The sequence below is a fragment of the Homo sapiens genome, chromosome 7 (genome assembly GCF_000001405.40).
Source record: "Homo sapiens chromosome 7, GRCh38.p14 Primary Assembly".
In the NCBI taxonomy this organism is placed as follows: Eukaryota; Metazoa; Chordata; class Mammalia; order Primates; family Hominidae; genus Homo; species Homo sapiens.
The window spans coordinates 158,831,455-158,852,742 of record NC_000007.14 but is presented as its reverse complement, the minus strand read 5'-3'; the positions used below and the strand labels follow the sequence as shown (position 1 = coordinate 158,852,742).

General features: G+C 44.8%; 1 protein-coding gene across 2 annotated transcripts in view; it reads right to left on the bottom strand.

The window, feature by feature from the left end:
- The window catches only part of DYNC2I1 (dynein 2 intermediate chain 1), a 119,454-nt gene extending 105,956 nt beyond the window's left edge, over positions 1 to 13,498 (bottom strand). For both annotated transcript variants that reach the window (XM_047420560.1, NM_001350914.2), the window contains exon 1: positions 13,245 to 13,498. The gene's annotated coding sequence lies outside the window, so the exon portion shown is untranslated. The remainder of the gene's footprint in view (positions 1 to 13,244) is intronic.

The window sequence follows — 21,288 nt, the reverse complement described above, 5'->3', positions numbered from 1 at the left end:
TTTGAGACGAAGTCTCGCTCTTGTCCCCCAGGCTAGAATGCAATGGCGCGATCTCAGCTCACTGCAACCTCCGCCTCCAGGGTTCAAGCAATTCTCCTGCCTCAGCCTCCTGACTGGCTGGGACTGCAGGCACCTCCCACCACGCCTGGCTAATTTTTGTATTTTTGGTAGACACGGGGTTTCACCATGTTGGCCAGGCTGGTCTCGAACTCCTGACCTTGTGATCTGCCCACCTTGGCCTCCCAAAGTGCTAGGATTACAGGCGTGAGCCACCATGCCCAGCCGGTCTGAACTAATTCTCTCCCTCAAAACCAGCGCTTACAGGCCGGGCGCGGTGGCTCATGCCTGTAATCCCAACACTTTGAGAGGCCAAGGCGGGCGGATCACAGGGTCAGGAATTCAAGACTAGCCTGGCCAACATGGTAAAACCCCGTCTCTACCAAAAATACAAACATTAGCCAGGCATGGTGGCAGGCACCTGCAATCCCAGCTACTCAGGAGGCTGAGGCAGGAGAATCGCTTGAAACCAGGAGGCAGAGGTTGCAGTGAGCCAAAATCACACCACTGCACTCCAGACAACAAGAGCAAAACTCCATCTAAGAAAAAAAAAAACAGCCCTTAGAATCTCAGGCGCCCAGCTCTTCTGCTATGGTCCCTGGCCCTAGAGGGAGGGTGCCTGTGTAGGGTTAGCAGGGCACTGGCCATGAAAACAGATCAGGCACAGTGGAATGCCCGAGTGCCAATGCCACATCTTTTTAGAATTCCGTGATTCTGGTTTCCTTGGAAGTAAAACAAGAAGAGATAAATAACATTAATAATTTGATAATCAGAATAGTATTTGTGTGTCAGAACAGAAGAAAGAACCTATTCTGCTGGGGCACCAACTATAAATATGAATCAAAATTGTAGCCTGGTGCTCTTTAGAGGATTCTTGCAGCCCAGAGATGATTCATGATTCAATCTGCACTCAAAAACAGAAGTCAGGACAGTCATCAGTAACAAGTGTTACACTTTTCCTTTGACTCAGTTTCTCTCTAGCCCTCCTTTTCTAATAAAGAGACATTATAATAAGATCAACTTGTGTGGAAAATACGTTTTAGTCTTATTATAGTTGGCCTGATGATTTGCATAAAGTGCAGCAAGAACCAATTGACTATATACACTCTTCTTAAGTTGGCTTTGCTAGAACTTTACCTAAAAATATGTTATTCTTTTTTTTTGAGACAGAGTTTTGCTCTTGTCACCCAGGCTGGACTACAATGGTGCAATTTCAGCTCACTGCAACCTCCGCCTCCTAGGTTCAAGCAATTCTCCTTCTTGCTGGGATTACAGGCACCAGCCACCACCACACCCAGCTAATTTTTGTACTTTTTGTAGAGATGGGGTTTCGTCATGTTGCCCAGGCTGGTCTTGAACTCCTGAGCTCAAGCAGTTCATCTGCCTGGGCCTCCCAAAGTGCTGTGATTACAGGCATGAACCACTGCGCCCAGCCAAAAATATGTTATTCTAATCAAAGCCCTGATAAAATAACCAGTGTCTCCAATTATCCTGTTTCAAAAGAAAAGACTCTTACTAAATGTATGTGAATAACTATATTATCATAAAATCACAAATAATTTGCAAATTTAGTCAAACTCAGAAAGGTAAATTTGCTCACAAAACCCAATTGCTCTAAACTATAAATAACTCAAAAGAAAAAGATTTCCTTGACTCTTCTTTAACTAGAGCAGCAGACTGCCAAACTAGATGTCATTTGTTCCTCTTGAAACTGTCATTCACGACCAAGCAGCTCGTTAGATGAGAGCTATTTCTCAGGCTCCGTAGACTCCAGCAGCTCCTCATAAAGTTAGAGTCCTGGGGAAAAAGAGGTTCCCTACTTAAAAGCATCTCCTCCTTGCTGCCCCAGGCAACAAGATCCTATGTAAACTATTTTTATTTTATTATGGAACTCTTTTTTTGGCACCATATTCCTATTAGCATAGGGATAGCTTCAGTTAACATTCCAAAGCAAGCGGAAATTCTCTGGTCCAAAGTCCCAGTAGTCATCATTGGGAAGGCCCACAGGTTTCTGCCATAAGCCCCAGTAAATGCTCCACAGAGGGCTATGAAGTGGAGGATTTGTCCCGAGCAACATTCCAGCTTCTACCCTACATTCTGTGGGCTCAGGCAGTCTTACTAGTTCCCATTTAACATTTACAATTGATAGCACTGGCTAATGCCACCACACCAGCTGCAGCAGGGAGGCCTGGCTGGGGCTGCACACTGCGTGGAGCTGGTTGGAGCCACATCCCTTCTGAGTTGGGACGGGAGCTCCCTGGGTGTTCCTGCAGCCTTCCAAACTGTGGCTGTGGATCTTTGCCTCCCTGTGCTTTTGCCTGGGAGTGGCCAGAAACAGGCAGGATCTGCCCTGCTAGGTGCAGCTGCAGCAGCTGGACGTGCAACTGTAGACCTGGGCCTCCCACTTCCTGGAGCAGGCAGGAGCTGGGAACAAGAGCCCTGGGCCCTTCCTAGTTGGTGGGGCGGGAGCTCCCAGGTGCAGCTGTGGCCACTCTCCCAGGTGCAGGACCCAGGTGTCTCTGTAGCCTGCACCTTCAGGGGCCCCAGAAAGGATCTCCCCTCCCCACTCCCCAGCTCTGCAGGCTCAGGGGTGTCTACTCCCACTGCCTGGCCTCTCTCTGCTCCTAGCGCCTGCTCCAATCTCTGAGCAGGGGTTGGGGCCATGAATGGCAGTGGGAGGCAGATTGATTCCTGGGCAAAAGGGCCAGGCCCCCAGTAAGGCCCCACCTCTAGGCCAGGGAGGGCCTGAAGGCTGGAGGCCAGGCTGCAGTCCTACAGACCAGAGTGGGGGCTCATGATGCCTCTTTTGGGCTGCCCTTGGCCACCCATGGACCAATCAGGATGCACTTCCTCCCCTCTGAGGTCCATAAAAGCCCTGGGCTCAGCCAGAGCAGGGCAGAGGACAGCCAGAGGAGAAAGAGGAGTACCCTCTCTGTTGAGAGCTGCAGAGAGACAACCTGACAGCAGAGAGGAGCCACCCTCTCCAGAGCCTCCTCTCCGCTGAGAGCTGCAGACATCAGGACGACCAGCTGCAGAGCGGAGCTGCCTTCTCCAGGGCCTCCTCGCTGTGAGAACTAAAGACTCCACAAATGACCTGCCTACAGAGAGGAGCTATCCACTGTGGGTCTCCTCCAAGCTGTTGTAACACTCAATAACGCTCATGTTAGTGTTGTTCACCCTTCACTTGTCTGTGTACCTCATTCTTCCCAGATGCAGGAAAAGATCTTGAGCAAAGGCACAGCAACCACAGAGGTTTCCAGCCAGAAAATGAAACCCCCAAAGATCCTGTAACACAATTAACGTTTCTCAAAGGGCAGACTGACATGCCTTCAGTTTGATAGTTCTAGATAGGGAAAACATTCCTCAGTCAGATACAATATCTATTTTCATATGACATTTAGGTAAGAGTCACAACTACATTTCATAAAACTTATTTAAACATCTCAAATTTCATAGTCCTATCAATCTGTACATGTTTATGTTCCCATCCCAGGAACTTTTCTTCTCTACCCACAGACCATTTTACCTTTTCTAGTAAAAAGGGATTTGGGTTCCCAACAGGGAGCTGAGCCAAGGGACTCAGGCCTTTTGTCAATCTTTATCTTAATGTGCCTCAATGTAAGCTTTCTCATTATAACCTTTGCCTTTTGATTTCTCTTAAAATTTCTCCAATCTGGGGCAAATACAGAAGACTTGTGTGGGCCCCTTTAATGCTGGGGGAACAGCAGGGGTTCCCTTTGGTCCACCCAATTTTTTTTTTTTTGAAACGGAGTCTCACTCTGTTGCCCAGGCTGGAGTGCAGTGGCGCAATCTCAGCTTACTGCAAGCTCTGCCTCGCGATTCACGCCATTCTCCTGCCTCAGCCTCCCAAGTAGCTGGGACTACAGGCGCCTGCCACCATGCCTGGCTAATTTTTTGTATTTTTAGTAGAGATGGGGTTTCACCGTGTTAGCCAGAATGGTCTCGCTCTCCTGACCTCGTGATCCGCCCGCCTCGGCCTCCCAAAGTGCTGGGATTACAGGCGTGAGTCACCGCGCCCGGCCTGGTCCACCCAATTTTTGATGGTGTTGTAAAGACCTTTGTTTAACCCCATCAGTTTTCATTTTATTTTACTTCATTTCTTAAAAACCATCTAAAGATTCCCACCACCCTTCTGGGGCGAGTCCTTTAACTCCCTTTTGCCTTTGCCATTTTGCTTTTTTGGTAATTGCCCTAATGTTTAATTAAGCATCAGTAAGACTCATGGGGGACAGAAAATTTGATGAGACTTCTCAAACAGTAATATCACGCAAGGTGCCCATGTAAAATGGGCCCTTTTACCCTCAATATTTACCATGACCTGGATAATAGACATATTCAGGGGGAGAATATCCCAGTCATCATAAATCCAGTCCCACATGGTTTACATATAAAGCATATCAGCTGCTTCATCTGGGGTGCTCCACTCAGCATTTTATAGGGAGAGTTGAGCAGTTCCCTTCTCAGGGCAAACAGACCTTATAGTGGCAATTATCCAGTCCACTAGGCTGCTCATTCTCTTGGGAATAACCTCTTGTGCAATTGGATCACATATATCCCTCAGGGATTGTTTAATAGTGAGCTGTGGGTCCTACATCAACCCAATCATGCTCTTTCATTCTGTAGCATTTGAAGATACTGTCCATATCTGTCTTTAAAACTAAAGATACTGTCCATTGGATACTGTCCAATAAAGTAGTTATTTTTACAATCTATTATAATATAGGTTTCTCAAGAAGCTGATGACACCAATCTAAAAATGGAACAATTCCTTTACATCATACCCTCTAGTTTTAATAGTTACTTGATTTTTGCCTTTCCCCCACACTGACTGTCTTCTTAGTAACCACAGGTCTCAGAAGTCACTTTTTTGCCTTGGCTTAATTTTTCCTTTTGTGGGTAGCTCTGAGGCTAGTGACTGAGCTGAGACAGATCCACATTGGAGCATGGCCCAGTGTTAAGGCCCAATCCAGCACTCTTTTACTTTCATTTTAGCTATTACAGAAAACAATAACCAAGGGATGAATATTTTGCTTTTTATTATTTTAAATTTCCCTTATGCATTCAGTGAGCTAACTGCCTGGGAGTATGAGTATGATCTGTCTCAGAATCCCACTGGTAGCTTTTACCTTCAGGAACAGAATGTAGCCCAGCTGCAGCTCCTTAAGAAGGGTGACGACATGGCCACCCAGGAGGCAAAGATTTCTCATTCTGTGCCTTTTTTTTCTGTATCCATTTAGTTTAATCTATATAATTTTTTCTTTATTTTAAAGGAAATGCTAAAGAGTTTAAGGTTTAAGAGTCACTATTTAAAGTGACTTTTAAATAGTCTCTAAACTAGAAAAAAATGCATTTTCTTTAGCAAAAACCACATCCTTGTGTTTGTATAAACCACCAGAAACACCATTTACTCTCCTACTTTTTTAATTCTTAGTAACCCAAATTCCAAGTGAAAAAAACTGAGGTTACTTAATTTAACATTACATGACTTTAAGATTTAAGACAGAATTTTGAGATTAAATTTACCAAATTAATCTTACGAAATATTACTAAAGTGATGTGAACCAAAAGGCATCAGAGCTAGCTTTTATGAGTCTGATAAGCACTAACTTTTCTTTAAGTCAATTAAAGTCTGATAAGCACTTACTTTTCTTTAAGTCAATTAATAAGAACTCTTTCACATAGTTTGGTAGTGAACTATCACTTCCACATGACACATAGAAACATACAGATATTACAGACATACAGACAAAGGAAGATCCAAAAGATTTTTTCATTTTCCTGTTTTCAAATATTCTCTCCTTTACCTTAGATTATTAATTTTTAAAAAGCCAACAAAAGGTAAAGTAGCCAACAAAAGGAGAAGGAGAGAGTTACCATCCCAGGCCTTCTCAAAAGAGCTGAAGCAGCAGGGTACAGTAGAAGTTGTACTTCTGAGCTATCAATCTGAAGAATATTTCAAAAAGAAACAGATTATAGAATTTAAAAATTAAGGACTTCTTGCATTAAGAGTAATTCAATATTTTCAAAAAATCTTGTTCTAACCAATTCTTTAGTTTTGTATTATGTATTTTAATGAGTCCAATTTCTGTAAAGACTATTATAATTTATTTTTAATTACAGCCAATTTAATTAACTTTAAAAAATTCCTTTTTTTACTAACAGTATTACTACTTACATAGACAATTCCCAACATGCTTGAACTTTATGGTTTGTCTTAAATATCCCTCTTTCTTGAACAACCATTTTATTTTAGGACAAAAATTCACCATATAAGATTCTCTTTCATAAAAAATTTCTTTTATCTTCTTACCAAAAAAAATCATCTTTATATCTATAACTTTCTTTACAACTCTCTTATTTCTTGGTTCCTTTTACCTTGTTTTATTTTATTTATTTATTTGTTTTTGAAATGGAGTTTTGCTCTGCTGCCCAGGCTGGAGTGCAGTGGTGCAATCTCAGCTCACTACAACTTCTGCTTCCCAGGTTCAAGCGATTCTCCTGCCTCAGCCTCCCAAGTAGCTGGGACTACAGGTGCGCACCACCATGCCCAGCTAATTTTTGTATTTTTGTACAGATGGGGTTTTACTATGTTGCCCAGGCTAGTCTCGAACTCCTAGTCTCAAGTGATCTGCCTGCCGTGGCCTCCCAGAGTGCTGGAAATACAGGCATAAGCCACCATGCCCAGCCTACGTGGTTTTATATGTAACCTTTAAATAACCTTTGAAGTAGACAAAAAATATTCACCATTTAATAAGAACACATTTTTAAATGTTTTTCTATAATTTTTAAATTGGAAATCCTAGGCATTTAATTAATATTTATTATTTAATATAACCTTAGATTCTAAATTATATGACAAGTTTGTTTACAAGCATTTGTTCTGTTACATTTACCTGATTAATTTATTTAATAGTTTATCTAGATTGCTTATGAAAACTGTGATAGTCATCATTTAAAGTTATTTCCCTGTCAACCATCTTTATAGTCTATGAATTGCAGGCATTTACCTAAGTAATAAAGTTAAGGTTAAGTATACGGGCATTTTACCAGTAACTTGAGATTTAGCTGTTTTCATTAAACCAACAATATTAAATGTCTTATTTATCAAAAATTACGCAAGCAACAATTATTCTATTTTAGGCCTGATTTAGAGTTTTATAACCCTTACGGCAAATTTTGACACCTTATAGTATTCTGCACGGTTAAGTATGAAACCACTTGATCAATAAATGCAAACAAAAATGTTGCCAGTTCCTCCATTTCTAACATTACTTTACCAATAATTTTAAAGCCAACTTATTGATTACAGATTTTACTTAAGTCATGTGAACTTGAGAAGCATTTGGGCTATTTAATTTATGAGTACTCTTTACCTTTAAACCAATTTGGTATCTTGTGGCCAAAAATACACAACACACTCACCATACAAAAAAAAATCCTATAGCTTTTACTTCAGAACTCTAGCCATGAGATATTAATACAAACTTACTGGTTTGTAAAACAACAACAACAATAAACCAGTTGGATCCAAACAGTGATTTTTATCTCAGAAGAAAAGTAACAGCAGATTTAAAGCAAGCAGAAAAGAAAATAGAGAAAGAGAGAATTATTCATGTTAACTTTGGAATGCCCTTGGCCAAGAGGAGAGGTCCATCTAGATGGTTGGGGGGCCCTAGAATTTTATTTTTGGTTTACACAAGCTGATCTTCCCAGGTGCAGAACAAAGATAGAACGAGAGCAATTAGACTGGGCACAGTGGCTCACGCCTGCAATCCCAACACTTTGAGAGACTGAGGCAGGTGGATCACCTGAGGTCGGGAGTTCGAGACCAGCCTGACCAACATGGAGAAACCCCATCTCCACTAAAAATACAAAATTAGCTGGGTGTGGTGGTGCATGCCTGTAATCCCAGCTACTCGAGAGGCTGAGGCAGGAGAATCGCTTGAACCTGGAGGTGGAGGTTGTGGTGAGCCAAGATTGCACCATTGCACTCCAGCCTGGGCAACAAGAGCGAAACTCCATCTCAAAAAAAAAGAAAAAAAATGAGAGCAATTTTTCCTCCACCTCCCCAGAGAGGATTGCATAATTGATTCTTCCTTTACTCCATTTTTTCTTAAAACTTTCACTTTATCTTGTGTAAAATGTAGATTTACTAGCACTAAATGAAGTCTCACAAGAACGTGACCATTTTCCTTATCACCCACCCACCCCAATTCCCACGCGCTCTCCCCCTTTAAGGAAATGAGTAAACATGAGACCTCCTGAAAACCTCCTCAGGGTCAGTAGTGACATCTGCACCGATGACCCACGTTTTTCCCAAAGGTGCCCTCCAGGTCTGGCTTAGTAAACCAGACTGAGATTCTTGCATTTTGGTTAACGAACACAAGAGAGGAGAGGAAAGAAACGTTAAGACAAGTATTCCATATCTCAAATGTATTTCCCTTTGTGAAAGGAAAATCTCAGGACCCCAAACTCACTTGGGAACTGAGTCAGGCGAAAACTTCCTGCAAGGTGAAAGAAAAACGAGAGAGAGAGGAGAGAGACTGCCTTCCTTTTGTTCCCAAACCGATGGCTGTAATTCACATGCTTACTTTATTTCATGCAAAATATAGATCCATTGAGCTGGAGAAGAATGCATGATTGACTTTCCTGCAATTCCTTTCTTTCCACATGTAAAGTAGATTCACACTCACCGGTGCCTCACAGGAATGTAACCACTGCCTCACTGCCTACCCTCTCTCCTTTTTCCTTCCTTTTTTCTTCCCCTCCTGCTTGCACATTCCCCTTTAAATATTAAAGTTCCCAAAACCCTCTTTGGAAAAAGCACAGGACACAGATCCTACTGTAACTTGTGTCTCTTTTTCCCTGGCTTGTCTTCAACCTCAGCAAAATAAATCCCTAAATCTACTGAGATATGCCTCTGTCACGTTTTAGTTTGTAATTTACAGCTTAAACATAAAAGCCAATCTTGGCTGGGCACGGTGGCTCAGCCTATAATCCCAGTACTTTGGGAGGCTGAGGTGGGCAGATCACTTGAGGTCAGGAGTTTGTGACCAGCCTGACCAACATAGCAAAACCTCATCTCTACAAAAAATACAAAAATGAGGCTGGGTGCGGTGGCTCACACCTGTAATCCTAGCACTTCAGGAGGCCAAGGTGGGCAGATCACTTGAGGTCAGGAGTTCGTGACCAGCCTGGCCAACATGGCAAAACCCCGTCTCTACTAAAAATACAAAAAAAATTAGGCGTTGTGGTGGGTGTCTGTAATCCCTGCTACTCAGGTGGCTGAGGCAGGAGAATTGCTTGAACCTGAGAGGTGGAGGTTGCAGTGAGCTGATATCATGCCACTGAACTCCAACCTGGGCAACAAGAGCGAAACTCCATCTCGAAAAACAAAAAAAAACTGGCCGGGCATGGTGGCACACACCTCTAGTCCCAGCTACCCAGGAGTTTGAGGTGGGAGAATCACTTGAACCCGGGAGGTGGACGCTGCAGTAAGCTGAGATTGTGCCACTGCACTCCAGCCTGGGCAACAGAGCAAGACTCCATCTCAAAAACAAACAAACAAAAAAAGCCAATCTTCAGCAAGGTGGAGCGGAGGTCCTGTTGATACTTAGCTGTTTATGTAATCTGCATTTGCTCCAGTATGTGGATGTTACTTAGAGAAGATTCCACTTACTGTCCTCACAGAGAGTAGAATCTCAAATCCTGTGTTAAGGAGCATCTGAGTGGACATCTACTAATACTCTGTGCTTTGATTTCATGGTCTTTCTGTAGACAGAAAATACAGATACACAACATGGTGTCTGCTTTGCAGACACTATTTTAACTCACATACTATTATGAATCAGCTTACAGTTTTATATCTTTCTACTTGCTTCAGACACAAAGGCCAATAACTCAGCTCTTTGCCTTACAGAAATTAAGAGCAGAATCAATAAACCTTTCTCATTTCCTGCATTCGGGTGTCAGACACGTCACTATGACCTTCTTCACTTCCACTCATCAGCACTTGACATGAGCGAAAAGGAAGACAGGAAAGGTGTCTGTGACAGCTATCATTTATTTAGTGACTGCTCCAAGCAAGGCACCAAACTCAGTGCGGGCCATTGGTAATTCATTTAATTATCATGCCATAAGTGTATGAGGAGACTGCAGGCCAGAAAGGCTAATTAGCTTGCCCAAGGTCACTCAGAGAAGCAGGTGGACGGACTGAGGCTAAAGCCCACCTTCCTAACCAGGTCACACTATGTCGGCTGAGGAAACGGTGACACTAGAAGAGCTGCCTACTCTTTGTTGAATGTCAGGTTGAATGTGAGGAATAAAACTGCCAGCCCCGGCTGGGCGTGGTGGCTCATGCCTGTAATGCCAGCACTTTGGGAGGCTGAGGCAGGTGGATCACAAGGTCAGGAGTTTGAAACCAGCCTGACCAATATGGTGAAACCCCATCTCTACTAAAAATACAAAAATTAGCCGGGCATGGTGGCGGGTGCCTGCAGTCCCAGCTACTCAGGAGGCTGAGGCAGGAGAATCGCTTGAATCCTGGAGGCGGAGCTTGCAGTGAGCTGGGATGGTGCCACTGCGCTCCAGCCTGGGCAAGACAGCAAGACTCCGTCTCAAAACAAACAAACAAACAAAATACCTTGCCAGCCACAGGATCTGGAAATGTCACACACGACGTGGATGCCCCAGGCCTAGCTCTTAAGATCCGCATCCTGAGCTTCCACCGGCAGTCACAAGCTCCCATCAGAGGACTTCTGAATTATACCTTAAATCTGCCCATTCTTCCCCACTCCAGCAGACAGAACCATCTAAAATGTGAACCTCACGTCAACCTCACTTCTGCGGCACTCCCTCATTGCCAAATAGAGCAACCTAGAGTTTCCCAAAGGCGCCACATCCACAGAGCTTTGCGACGCTGTCTTCTTTTTCACTGTGCTCCACCATATTTGCTGAATAAATGGATTTATGACTAGAAAAGGACCCAAAACAATTATTTTCTGAATAGCTCATTTCCCAATCAGTTACATTCTATCTTATAATATTTCTTCCATCATTTTTATTTATTCACTAGGTGACATACAGAGTTCATTTGATACCCTAGGAAGTGACAGAATGCTAGAAATAGAAAACTAAATAAAATACTATCTGGGGCCGGGCGTGGTGGCTTACGCCTGTAATCCCAGTGCTTTGGAAGGCTGAGGCAGGCGAATCACCTGAGGTCAGGAGTTTGAGACTAGCCTGACCAACACGGTGAAACCTCGTCTCTACCAAAACCACAAAAATTATCTGGGCATGGTAGCACACACCCTGTAATCCCAGCTACTCAGGAGGCTGAGTGAGGTGGGGAGAATTGCTTGAACCCGGGAGGTGGAGGTTGCAGTGAGCTGAGATTGCACCACTGCACTCCAGCCTGGGTGACAGTGCAAGACTCTGTCTAAAATATATATATATATATATATATATATATATATATATATATATATATATATATATATATATATATTTGCAGACCTACAATCTATGGTACATGGCATGTGTTTTGTGACTGGGAGTTGGGGGACAGTTGGAGATGAGGCTGAAAAGTAGGCATGATCCCATTTGTAAAGGGCCTTGAATGTTGTGATACAAAGATTAAAATTTAAAGTGTAAGTCACTGAAATGGGAAAGCATGCTGTAATTGCATGTTGCAGGATGGGCTGGTGGAGAGGGAGTGGAACCCAGGGACAGTCAGGAGGCTTGTGGCCTCCGTGGGCATTGCTCTCTGCTCCAGCCAGTGGGCTGGCCGTGGTTCCTGATGAAGCACGGAGCTCTCTCTGGCCACACGGCCCCAGCACAGGCTCTTGTCGTCCTGGAGCAGGCTTCCCTGCAGTTCACAACAGGCCGAGAGGCCCACTAGTCTCTGGAGGGTCAGCCCAGCACCACTCCACTGAAAACCTCCCCCACTGGGGCCCATATCTGATTCGTGTGTAAATATTCTCCCAGATCCTCTTTTGTATAATGTTAAACATTAATTTCCATCTCCCTAACTAGACTATAAACTAGTTTATAATTGCGTGATTTATAATTTATGATAGAAACAATCAAAACCATTTTTTTAGACGGAGTCTTGCTCTGTCACCCAGGGTGAAGTGCAGTGGCATGATCTCAGCTCACTGCAACCTCCGCCTCCTGGGTTCAAGCAATTCTCCTGCCTCAGCCTCCCGAGTAGCTGGGATTACAGGTGCCCACCACCATGGCCAGCTAAGTTTTGTATTTTTCCTAGAGACAGGGTTTCTGCCATGTTGGCCAGGCTGGTCTTGAACTCCCGACTTCGACGGATCCACCTGCCTTGGCCTCCCAAAGTGCTGGGATTATAGGCATGGGCACCAAGCCCGGCCAAAACCATTTTTTCTTAATTTCTGATTTTTTTTTTTGTAGACAATGTCTCACTTTGTTGCCCGGGCTGGTCTCGATCCTCCCACTTCAGCCTCCCAAAGTGCTGGGACTGCGCCTGGCCAAAAACCATTTTTTCACAGTAGCAAGCAACTTTGTCACAAAAGTCAACCACCTCTGGGTGAAGTGGCTCACACCTGTAACCCCAGCACTTTGGGAAGCTGAGGCAGGAGGATTGCTTGAGCCCAAGAGTTTGAGACCAGCCTGGACGACACAGTAAGACCAATATCCACTAAATTTTTTTTTTTCAATTAGCCGGGTGTGGTGAGATGTGCCTGTAGTTCAGCTGCTCAGGATGAGGCAAGAGGATCAACCCAAGAGGCTGGGGCTGCCGCGAGACAAGATGATGGAGGCTGGGGCTGCACTCCAGCCTGGGTGATAGAGCGAGACCTCATCTCTTTTTTTTTTTTGAGACGGAGTCTCATTCTGTCCCCCAGGCTGGAGTGCAGTATCACTATCTTGGCTCACTGCAAGCTCCGCCTCCCGGGTTCACGCCATTCTCCTGCCTCAGCCTCCCGAGTAGCTGGGACTACAGGCGCCCGCCACCACGCCCTGCTAATTTTTTTGTATTTTTAGTAGAGACGGGGTTTCACCGTGTCAGCCAGGATGGTCTCGATCTCCTGACCTCGTGATCCACCCGCCTCGGCCTCCCAAAGTGCTGGGATTACAGGCGTGAACCACCGTGCCCAGCCAGAGACCCCATCTCTTTAAAAAACAAAAAAAGCAATCACCTTCCTTTCCCATCCTCTTTAGGTTTTGCAGTCAGGTGTTACGGAGTCACATTAGCATCCTCTTTAGGTTTTGCAGTCAGGTGTTACGGAGTCACATTAGCATCCTCTTTAGGTTTTGCAGTCAGGTGTTACGGAGTCATATTAGCATCCTCTTTAGGTTTTGCAGTCAGGTGTTACGGAGTTACATTAGCATCCTCTTTAGGTTTTGCAGTCAGCTGTTATGGAGTCATATTAGCATCCTCTTTAGGTTTTGCAGTCAGGTGTTACGGAGTCACATTAGCATCCTCTTTAGGTTTTGCAGTCAGGTGTTACGGAGTCACATTAGCATCCTCTTTAGGTTTTGCAGTCAGGTGTTACGGAGTCACATTAGCATCCTCTTTAGGTTTTGCAGTCAGGTGTTACGGAGTCACATTAGCATCCTCTTTAGGTTTTGCAGTCAGGTGTTACGGAGTCACATTAGCATCCTCTTTAGGTTTTGCAGTCAGGTGTTACGGAGTCACATTAGCATCCTCTTTAGGTTTTGCAGTCAGGTGTTACGGAGTCACATTAGCATCCTCTTTAGGTTTTGCAGTCAGGTGTTACGGAGTCACATTAGCATCCTCTTTAGGTTTTGCAGTCAGGTGTTACGGAGTCACATTAGCATCCTCTTTAGGTTTTGCAGTCAGGTGTTATGGAGTCATATTAGCATCCTCTTTAGGTTTTGCAGTCAGGTGTTATGGAGTCATATTAGCATCCTCTTTAGGTTTTGCAGTCAGGTGTTATGGAGTCATATTAGCATCCTCTTTAGGTTTTGCAGTCAGGTGTTATGGAGTTACATTAGCATCCTCTTTAGGTTTTGCAGTCAGCTGTTATGGAGTCATATTAGCATCCTCTTTAGGTTTTGCAGTCAGGTGTTATGGAGTCATATTAGCATAATGTCTGTATGCCCAGTATTACACAAAGCCTACCTACAATGTTAACACAAGCAAGATAATTATACAAAGTGGCAGGATCTCGAATTGGCCTAACAGTGGCAGTGGAGTCCAGTTGCCTGAGTCCGTAACCCCAATGGCTTCTCAGTAGCTGTGTGAATTAGGGCAATTTGTTTTACTACATTGTACTTCCATTTCCTCTTCTATAAAAATGGGAGCCACCCTGTAGAGCAACTGTGAAGATTAAATAAGTAATTATGTAAGGAATCCAGCATGGTGCCTAGTGCAAACCAAGCACTCAGTAAATGTTACTGACATGGTTGGGATGTGTGTCCCTGCCCAAATCCATGTTGAATTGCAATCCCCAGGGCTGGAGGTGGGGCCTGGTGGGCGGTGACTGGCTCACAGGGCAGTTTCTCCTGAATCATTTCGCACCGTTCCCTTGGTACTGTGTCAGGACAGTGCATTCTCGTGAGACCTGGTTGTTTAAAAGTGTGGTGCTCCTTCCCCCTCTCTCTAGGTCCTGCTCCTCCTGCCAATAAGATGCCTGCTCCCACTCTCCCTTCTGCCATGACTGGAAGCTCCCTGAGGCCTCCCCAGAAGCAGAAGCCGCCATGCTTCCTGTACAGCCTGAGGAACTGTGAGCCAATTAAACCTCTTTTCTTTACACATTACCGAATCTCAGGTATTTCTTTATAGCCATGTGAGAATGTACTAATAGTTATTAATAATGTTATTATGGGGATTGTACATTATTACCTGAATTATAAGCAATTAGGAAAGATGAAAATGTGTGGAATGATAAAATTATAACCCTGTTTTATAAATTTATAAATTATTCACTATTACAGAAAAACCATAATTGAAGTACTTTTTGGAATTTCAGAGGGCCAGTCAATGCTCCTTTCTTCTCTCTACCAATTACGAGGTTGTGCAGGCAGAAGTCTCCCCTGTGGTCCATGCTCTTGATAGTCCTCTGTCCTTGAGGGTGGGCAGAACCTGTGAATGTGATGGGCTGTCACTCCTGTGATTAGTCTACTAATCAGTTGGCTTTGAATTAGTCAAAAGGGAGATGATCCTGGCGGGCCTGACCTTAAAAAACCAAAGCCAACATGTCAGAGAGAACACATGGGCTGTCCTGGAAGAAGACGAAGCAAACGCCATGTTGCGAGAGGCCTGTGGAGGGGCCACATGGAAGGCCAAGAACCAGCATGAAGTGGGACCTCAGTCCTACAGCCCTGTAGGGAACTGAACTCTGCCAATGCACTAAATGAGCTTAGGAGAGGATCCTGAGCTCCACGTGAGAACAAGCTCAGCCAACACCTTGGCTTCAACTTACGAGACCCAAGTGGAGGACCCATGCATTTGGCACTTGCTAAGCTATGCACAATATCATCTCCACTACTGATAAAAACTAAAATGGAGCTTGTGACTTGACATATGGCCTTAGTTGGGGACTCTAATATGTACCATCAAATTCAAACTTCCCCCAAGAATACGGGGGATCCCCCACATACGCACAGGGCAGCCGCTGGGGCTCCTGAGGACCAGCATCTCCAAAAAGAGACAAGCCCAGAGAAGCGGAGCTGTATTCAGTAGAAAAGGTGATCACAGTGACGAGCACAAGGTACAGAGATGACTGCTCGGGGGAGGAAGACTCCACAAAAGCCGTCCCAGAGGTGGACACCCACATGTTGGACTTTGAAATGTGAACAGGAGTTCACCAACAGGATTAGAAGAAGAATGGTCCAGGCACAGAGATGGTATGTTAGTTCGTTTGGTGTCACTGTAAAGACATAGCTGAGGCTGGGTAATTTATAAAGAGGTTTAATTGGCTCAGGGTTTTGCAGGCTGTACAAGCATAGTGCCAGCATCTGCTCAGCTTCTGGTGAGACCTCGGGTAGCTTTTACCCATGGCAGAAGGTAGAGTGGGATCAGGCATGTCACATAGTGAGGGGGGAGCAAGAGAGAGAAGGGAGAGGTCCTAGACTCTTTCAAACAACTTGATTTCATGTGAATTAACTGAGTGAGAACTCACTCATCACCGAGGGGATGGTGCAAAAGCATTCGTGAGGGACCCACCCCCATGATCCAGTTACCTCCCACCAGACCCCACCTCCAACACTGGGAATCACAGTTCAACATGAGATTTGGACAAACATCCAAACCGTATCCCATGATTTGAGAATAATTGGCAGCATGACACCACATAGGAAAGTGGCTGGAATAGCGGCCAGACAAGGCCGGTGACATTTTGAAAAGCTCTGTCACACTAAGGAGCTTTAACTTCATACCTTCAGAAAAGGAAATATTTTATAAGCAGGGAAGAGATTCAATCAAATATGCATTTTTAATTGGCCATTTGATGGAAATATGGGCTTTAAAAATAATTGTTTGAAATAATTTCAAACTTAGAGAACATATGCAAGTATAAAAAGCTCCCTTGTCTCTGGCTGGGTCACACCTGTAACCCCGGAACTTTGGGAGGTCAAGGTGGGAGGACTCTGCCTGAACCCAGGAGTACAAGACCAGCCTGGGCAACATAGCAAAACCTCTTTTTTTTTTTTTTGTTTGAGATGGTGTTTTGCTCTTATTGCCCAGGCTGGAGTGCAATGGCATGATCTTTGTTCACTGCAACCTCTGCCTCCCTGGTTCAAGTGGTTCTCCCGCCTCAGCCTCCTAAGTAGCTGGGATTACAGGAGCGCACCACCACACCCAGATAATTTTGTATTTTTGGTAGAAATGAGGTTTCAATATGTTGGCCAGGCTGGTCTTGAACTCCTGACCTCAGGTGATCCACCCACCTCGGCCTCACAAAGTGCGGGGATTACAGGCATGAGCCACCATGCCTGGCCACGAGACCCCATCTCAAAAAAAAAAAAGTAAACAAACAAACAAACAAAAATAAAACTCTCTTATCTCCACCACCCAGATTCCCACTGCTAGCCTCACACATTGCTCCACTTTTCTCTATCATCTATCTACACACAGACATTCATTATCATTAGTCTTTTTCTGAATCATTTAAGAGCTTCAAATATGATTATTTATCACTTCCTATCGTAGCCCATTTTGTGCTGCTATAGGGTCCAGCCCTACGGGGCTTAGTGGGTGTTCTCCCCGTGTGCAGAGACGAGATTGTAAGAAATAGACATAAGACAAAGAGATAAAGAGAAAACAGCTGGGCCCAGGGGACCACTACTACCAAGACGCGGAGACCGGTAGTGGCCCTGAATGGCCGGACACGCTGATATTTATTGCATACAAGATAAGGGGGCAGGGTAAGAAGGGTGAGTCGTCCAAGTGATTAATAAGGTCAAGCAAGTCACGTGATCATGGGACAGGGGGCCATTCCCTTTTAGGTAGCCGAACCAGAGAGGGAAGGCAGCAAACGTCAGCACTTTCCCCTATGCACTTATAAGAAAGATCAAAGACTTTAAGACTTTCACTATTTCTTCTACCGCTATCTACTACAAATTTCAAAGAGGAACCAGGAGTACAAAAGGAACATGAAAGTGGACGAGGAGCGTGAACACTGAAGCACAGCACCACAGGGAGGGGTTTAGGCCTCTGGATGACTGCAGGCAGGGCTGGATAATATCCAGCCTCCCACAAGAAGCTGGTGGAGCAGAGCGTTCCCTGACTCCTCCAAGGAAAGGGAGACTCCCTTTCACGTTCTGCTAAGTAATGGGTGCCTTCCCAGGCACTGGCATTGCCACTTGACCAAGGACCCCTCAAGCGGCCCTTAAGCAGGCGTGATAAGAGGGCTCACCTCTTGCCTTCTAGGTCACTTCTCACAATGTCCCTTCAGTACCTGACCCTATACCCGCCAGTTATTCCTGGTAATATGAGTAATACAACAAAGAGTAATAGTAAAAGCTAATGATTAATAATGTTTATACTAATGATTGATAATGCCCATGCTCATCTCTATATCTAATTTGTATTATAACTATTCTTATTCTATTTTCTTTATTATACTGAAACATTTTGTGCCTTCAGTCTCTTGCCTCGGCACCTAGGTAATCCTTCACCCACATGCTGCTATAACAAACTACCTGAGATACGGTAATTTATAAAGAACAGAAATTTATTTCTTACAATTCTGGAGACGGAGAAATCCAAGATCAAGATACCAAGAGGTGCCGGGCGCAGTGGCTCATGCCTGTAATCCCAGCACTTTGGGAGGCTGAGGCGGGCAGATCACGAGGTCAGGAGATAGAGACCATCCTGGCTAACACAGTGAAACCCCGTCTCTACTAAAAATACAAAAAATTAGCTGGGCATGGTGGTGGGCGCCTGTAGTCCCAGCTACTGGGGAGACTGAGGCAGGAGAATGGCGTGAATCCGGGAGGCGGAGCTTGCAGTGAGCTGAGATCACGCCACTGCACTCCAGCCTGGGCGACGGAGCGAGACTCCATCTCAAAAAAAAAAAAAAAAAAAGATACCAAGAGGTTTGATGTCTGGTGAGGGATCCTCTGCTTCCAAGACAGCACCCTGTTGGTGAGGGGAGGAGTGTTGAGTGCTCACCTGGCCAGAAGCCTCGTCTGCAAGGTCACTACCTCCATCCACAGGGAGGAGCCTCATGGCCTAGTCACCTCATGGTCTCACCTCCTTATACCATCACACTGACCACTAAGTTTCTTTTTTTTTTCTGAGATAGGTTCTCGCTCTGTGGCTCAGGCTGGAGTGCAGTGACGTGACCAGAGCTCGCTGCGGCCTTGATCTCCTGGGCTTAAATGATCCTCCCACCTCAGCCTCCTGAATAGCTGGGACTACAGGCACATGCCACCATGCAAAGATAATTTTTAAATTTTTTGTATAGATGGGGGTCCCATTGTTGCCCAGGCTGGTCTTGAATTCCTGGGCTCAAGCGATCCTCCTGCCTCAGCCTCCCAAAGTGCTGGGATTACTGGTGAGCTACCACACCTGGCCTTGGCCATTCAGTTTCAACATCTGAATTTTGGAAGGGACACATTCAAACCACGGCACCCCCAAATACTCTAAAAACAAGGATCACCTCCACTACACAACCTTCCCAGTGGAGAAATCAATATCAATACATTGTCCAACCCATAGACCCCACCCAAGCTTCACCAACTGTGCCCACACTTCTTTTCCCATGTCTGGGACCTCCCAGGAACATGCATTGCATGGAGTTGTTATGTCTCTTCAGTCTCATATAATCTGGAACAATTCTTAGTCTTATCCTGTCTCTTATGACAATTTATTTATTTGAGAAGGGGTTTCCCTCTGTCACTCAGGCTAGAGTGCAGTGGTGCAATCATAGCTCACTGCAGCCTTGAATTCCTGGGCTCAAGCAATACTCTTGCCTCAGCCTTAGTAGCTGGGACTACAGGCTCGTGCCACCATGCCAGGGCAATTTTTAAGATTTTTTTTTGTAAAGATGGAGTCTTACTACATTGCCCAGGCTGGTCTCGAACTCCCAGCCTCAAGTGATCCTTCTGCCTCAGTCTCCCAAAGCGTGAGCCACTGTTCCTGGCTCATGACAGTAATAAAGAAAACAGAATGGCCTTCCTTCTGGGTCTATCTGATATTCCCTAGGCTAGACTGAGGCTGTGGTTTCTGGCAGAAAAGTGTCAGGCGTGCTGCTGTGCTCTTCTCAGCACAGTGCACGGGGACTCAGTTTCAACTTTTCTCCACTGGTGACAGGTGTCTCATTACCTGGCCACGCTGGTGTCTGCTGGTGTTTCCCACCAGAAAGTCTCAATTTTCCTCTTTGTAATGGAAAAGTATGCTGAAGAAAGATGTCCATTCTCATTCCTCATCAAATCTCCACCTACCACCCTGAGCCTCCATTGATAGCTCACTCCTGCAACAACCCCACTACAGTGATTGGTAAATGGTTATTTCCATTCTCACTCCTGCAACAACCCCACTACAGTGATTGGTAAATGGTTATTTCCATTCTCATAATTCCTTCTCCATTTATGAGTTCACATTCTACTGTAAAGAAGAACCTCCCCTTCTCCACTATTATTTTCCCTGCATTCATCACTGGTTTGTTGATCTACATCAGTGTGGACTCAACTCATGCGTTTCTATTTTGCTCACTCAGTGGTAATCTGCCAATATCATTCTTTGTTTTGTTGCTCAAATTGTCCTAGATTTCGCCAGCAAGAACTCCCTCCAACTACTTTCCATGTCCTTTGATCTCCTGTCAATCTTTGAGCACTTCTTCACTTCCTTGAACAACAAAATTATTCCAGGATCATCTTGTACTTCCACTCCAGCCCTGAAATTAACCATTTCTCCAAAGAGCCCTGATTCCTTTTGTTGGAAAACCTTATTTAGAAGATAAGATCTGGGGGCTAGCTGTGATCACTGGTACTGGGGTACCATTGCATCTAGATACTCAGCAGACAGAACTAGAAACTATTTCTGTGTTTATATGCACATATACCTACACATGTGTGCACACACATACAGCTATCTTTATATCTATCTGTATATACATATTTTAAAAAAATGAGTTCATACTACCACTTCCAGTTCCAATCCAATCCCTCAGTGTTCTTTTTAGCCTTCCCTCTTCCATGTTTTTACCTTCTCCAACAGCAAGAAACCTGGCTTTCACTGTCCCCAGTATATTTAATTTGCTGGTATAACCTCCAAATTGAAGAGATGCAGAGCACGTGCTCCCACCCTCCATAACGAGACGTATTTAGAGGTGTGGGGGAGGACCCAAAAGCAGGAAGAGTTGAACCTAAGCACAAGATAGCACTTTCCTCTGAAACCAGGAAGGCTGGAACTTCGCAGCTGTGCACCGGAGCACTCGGAATGACACTCCAGAGAAAGCAGCACTTCTCCTTGTCTACAAGAAGGAAAGGATGGAGGGGTCATGAAAGGTCACAGGAGATTGAGGGGTATAATATTAGCAAAAATCTAAGAGCCGAGCTGGACCTGCAGTCAGACCAGACACCTGTAAGACTGAGCTGTGGCAGAGCCTTAGGATCTGCTTTCTGCAGGCAATTAACCACAGGGAGGGGCTGGAAACCCGGGGCTCACACAGAGGGAAGCTGAGGACACTTGGGCTGACTGGTATGCAACATGGAAACTTCTCTTCAATCTAGTTTACATCCTTGGGTCAACCACTGGATGGCACATGGCAC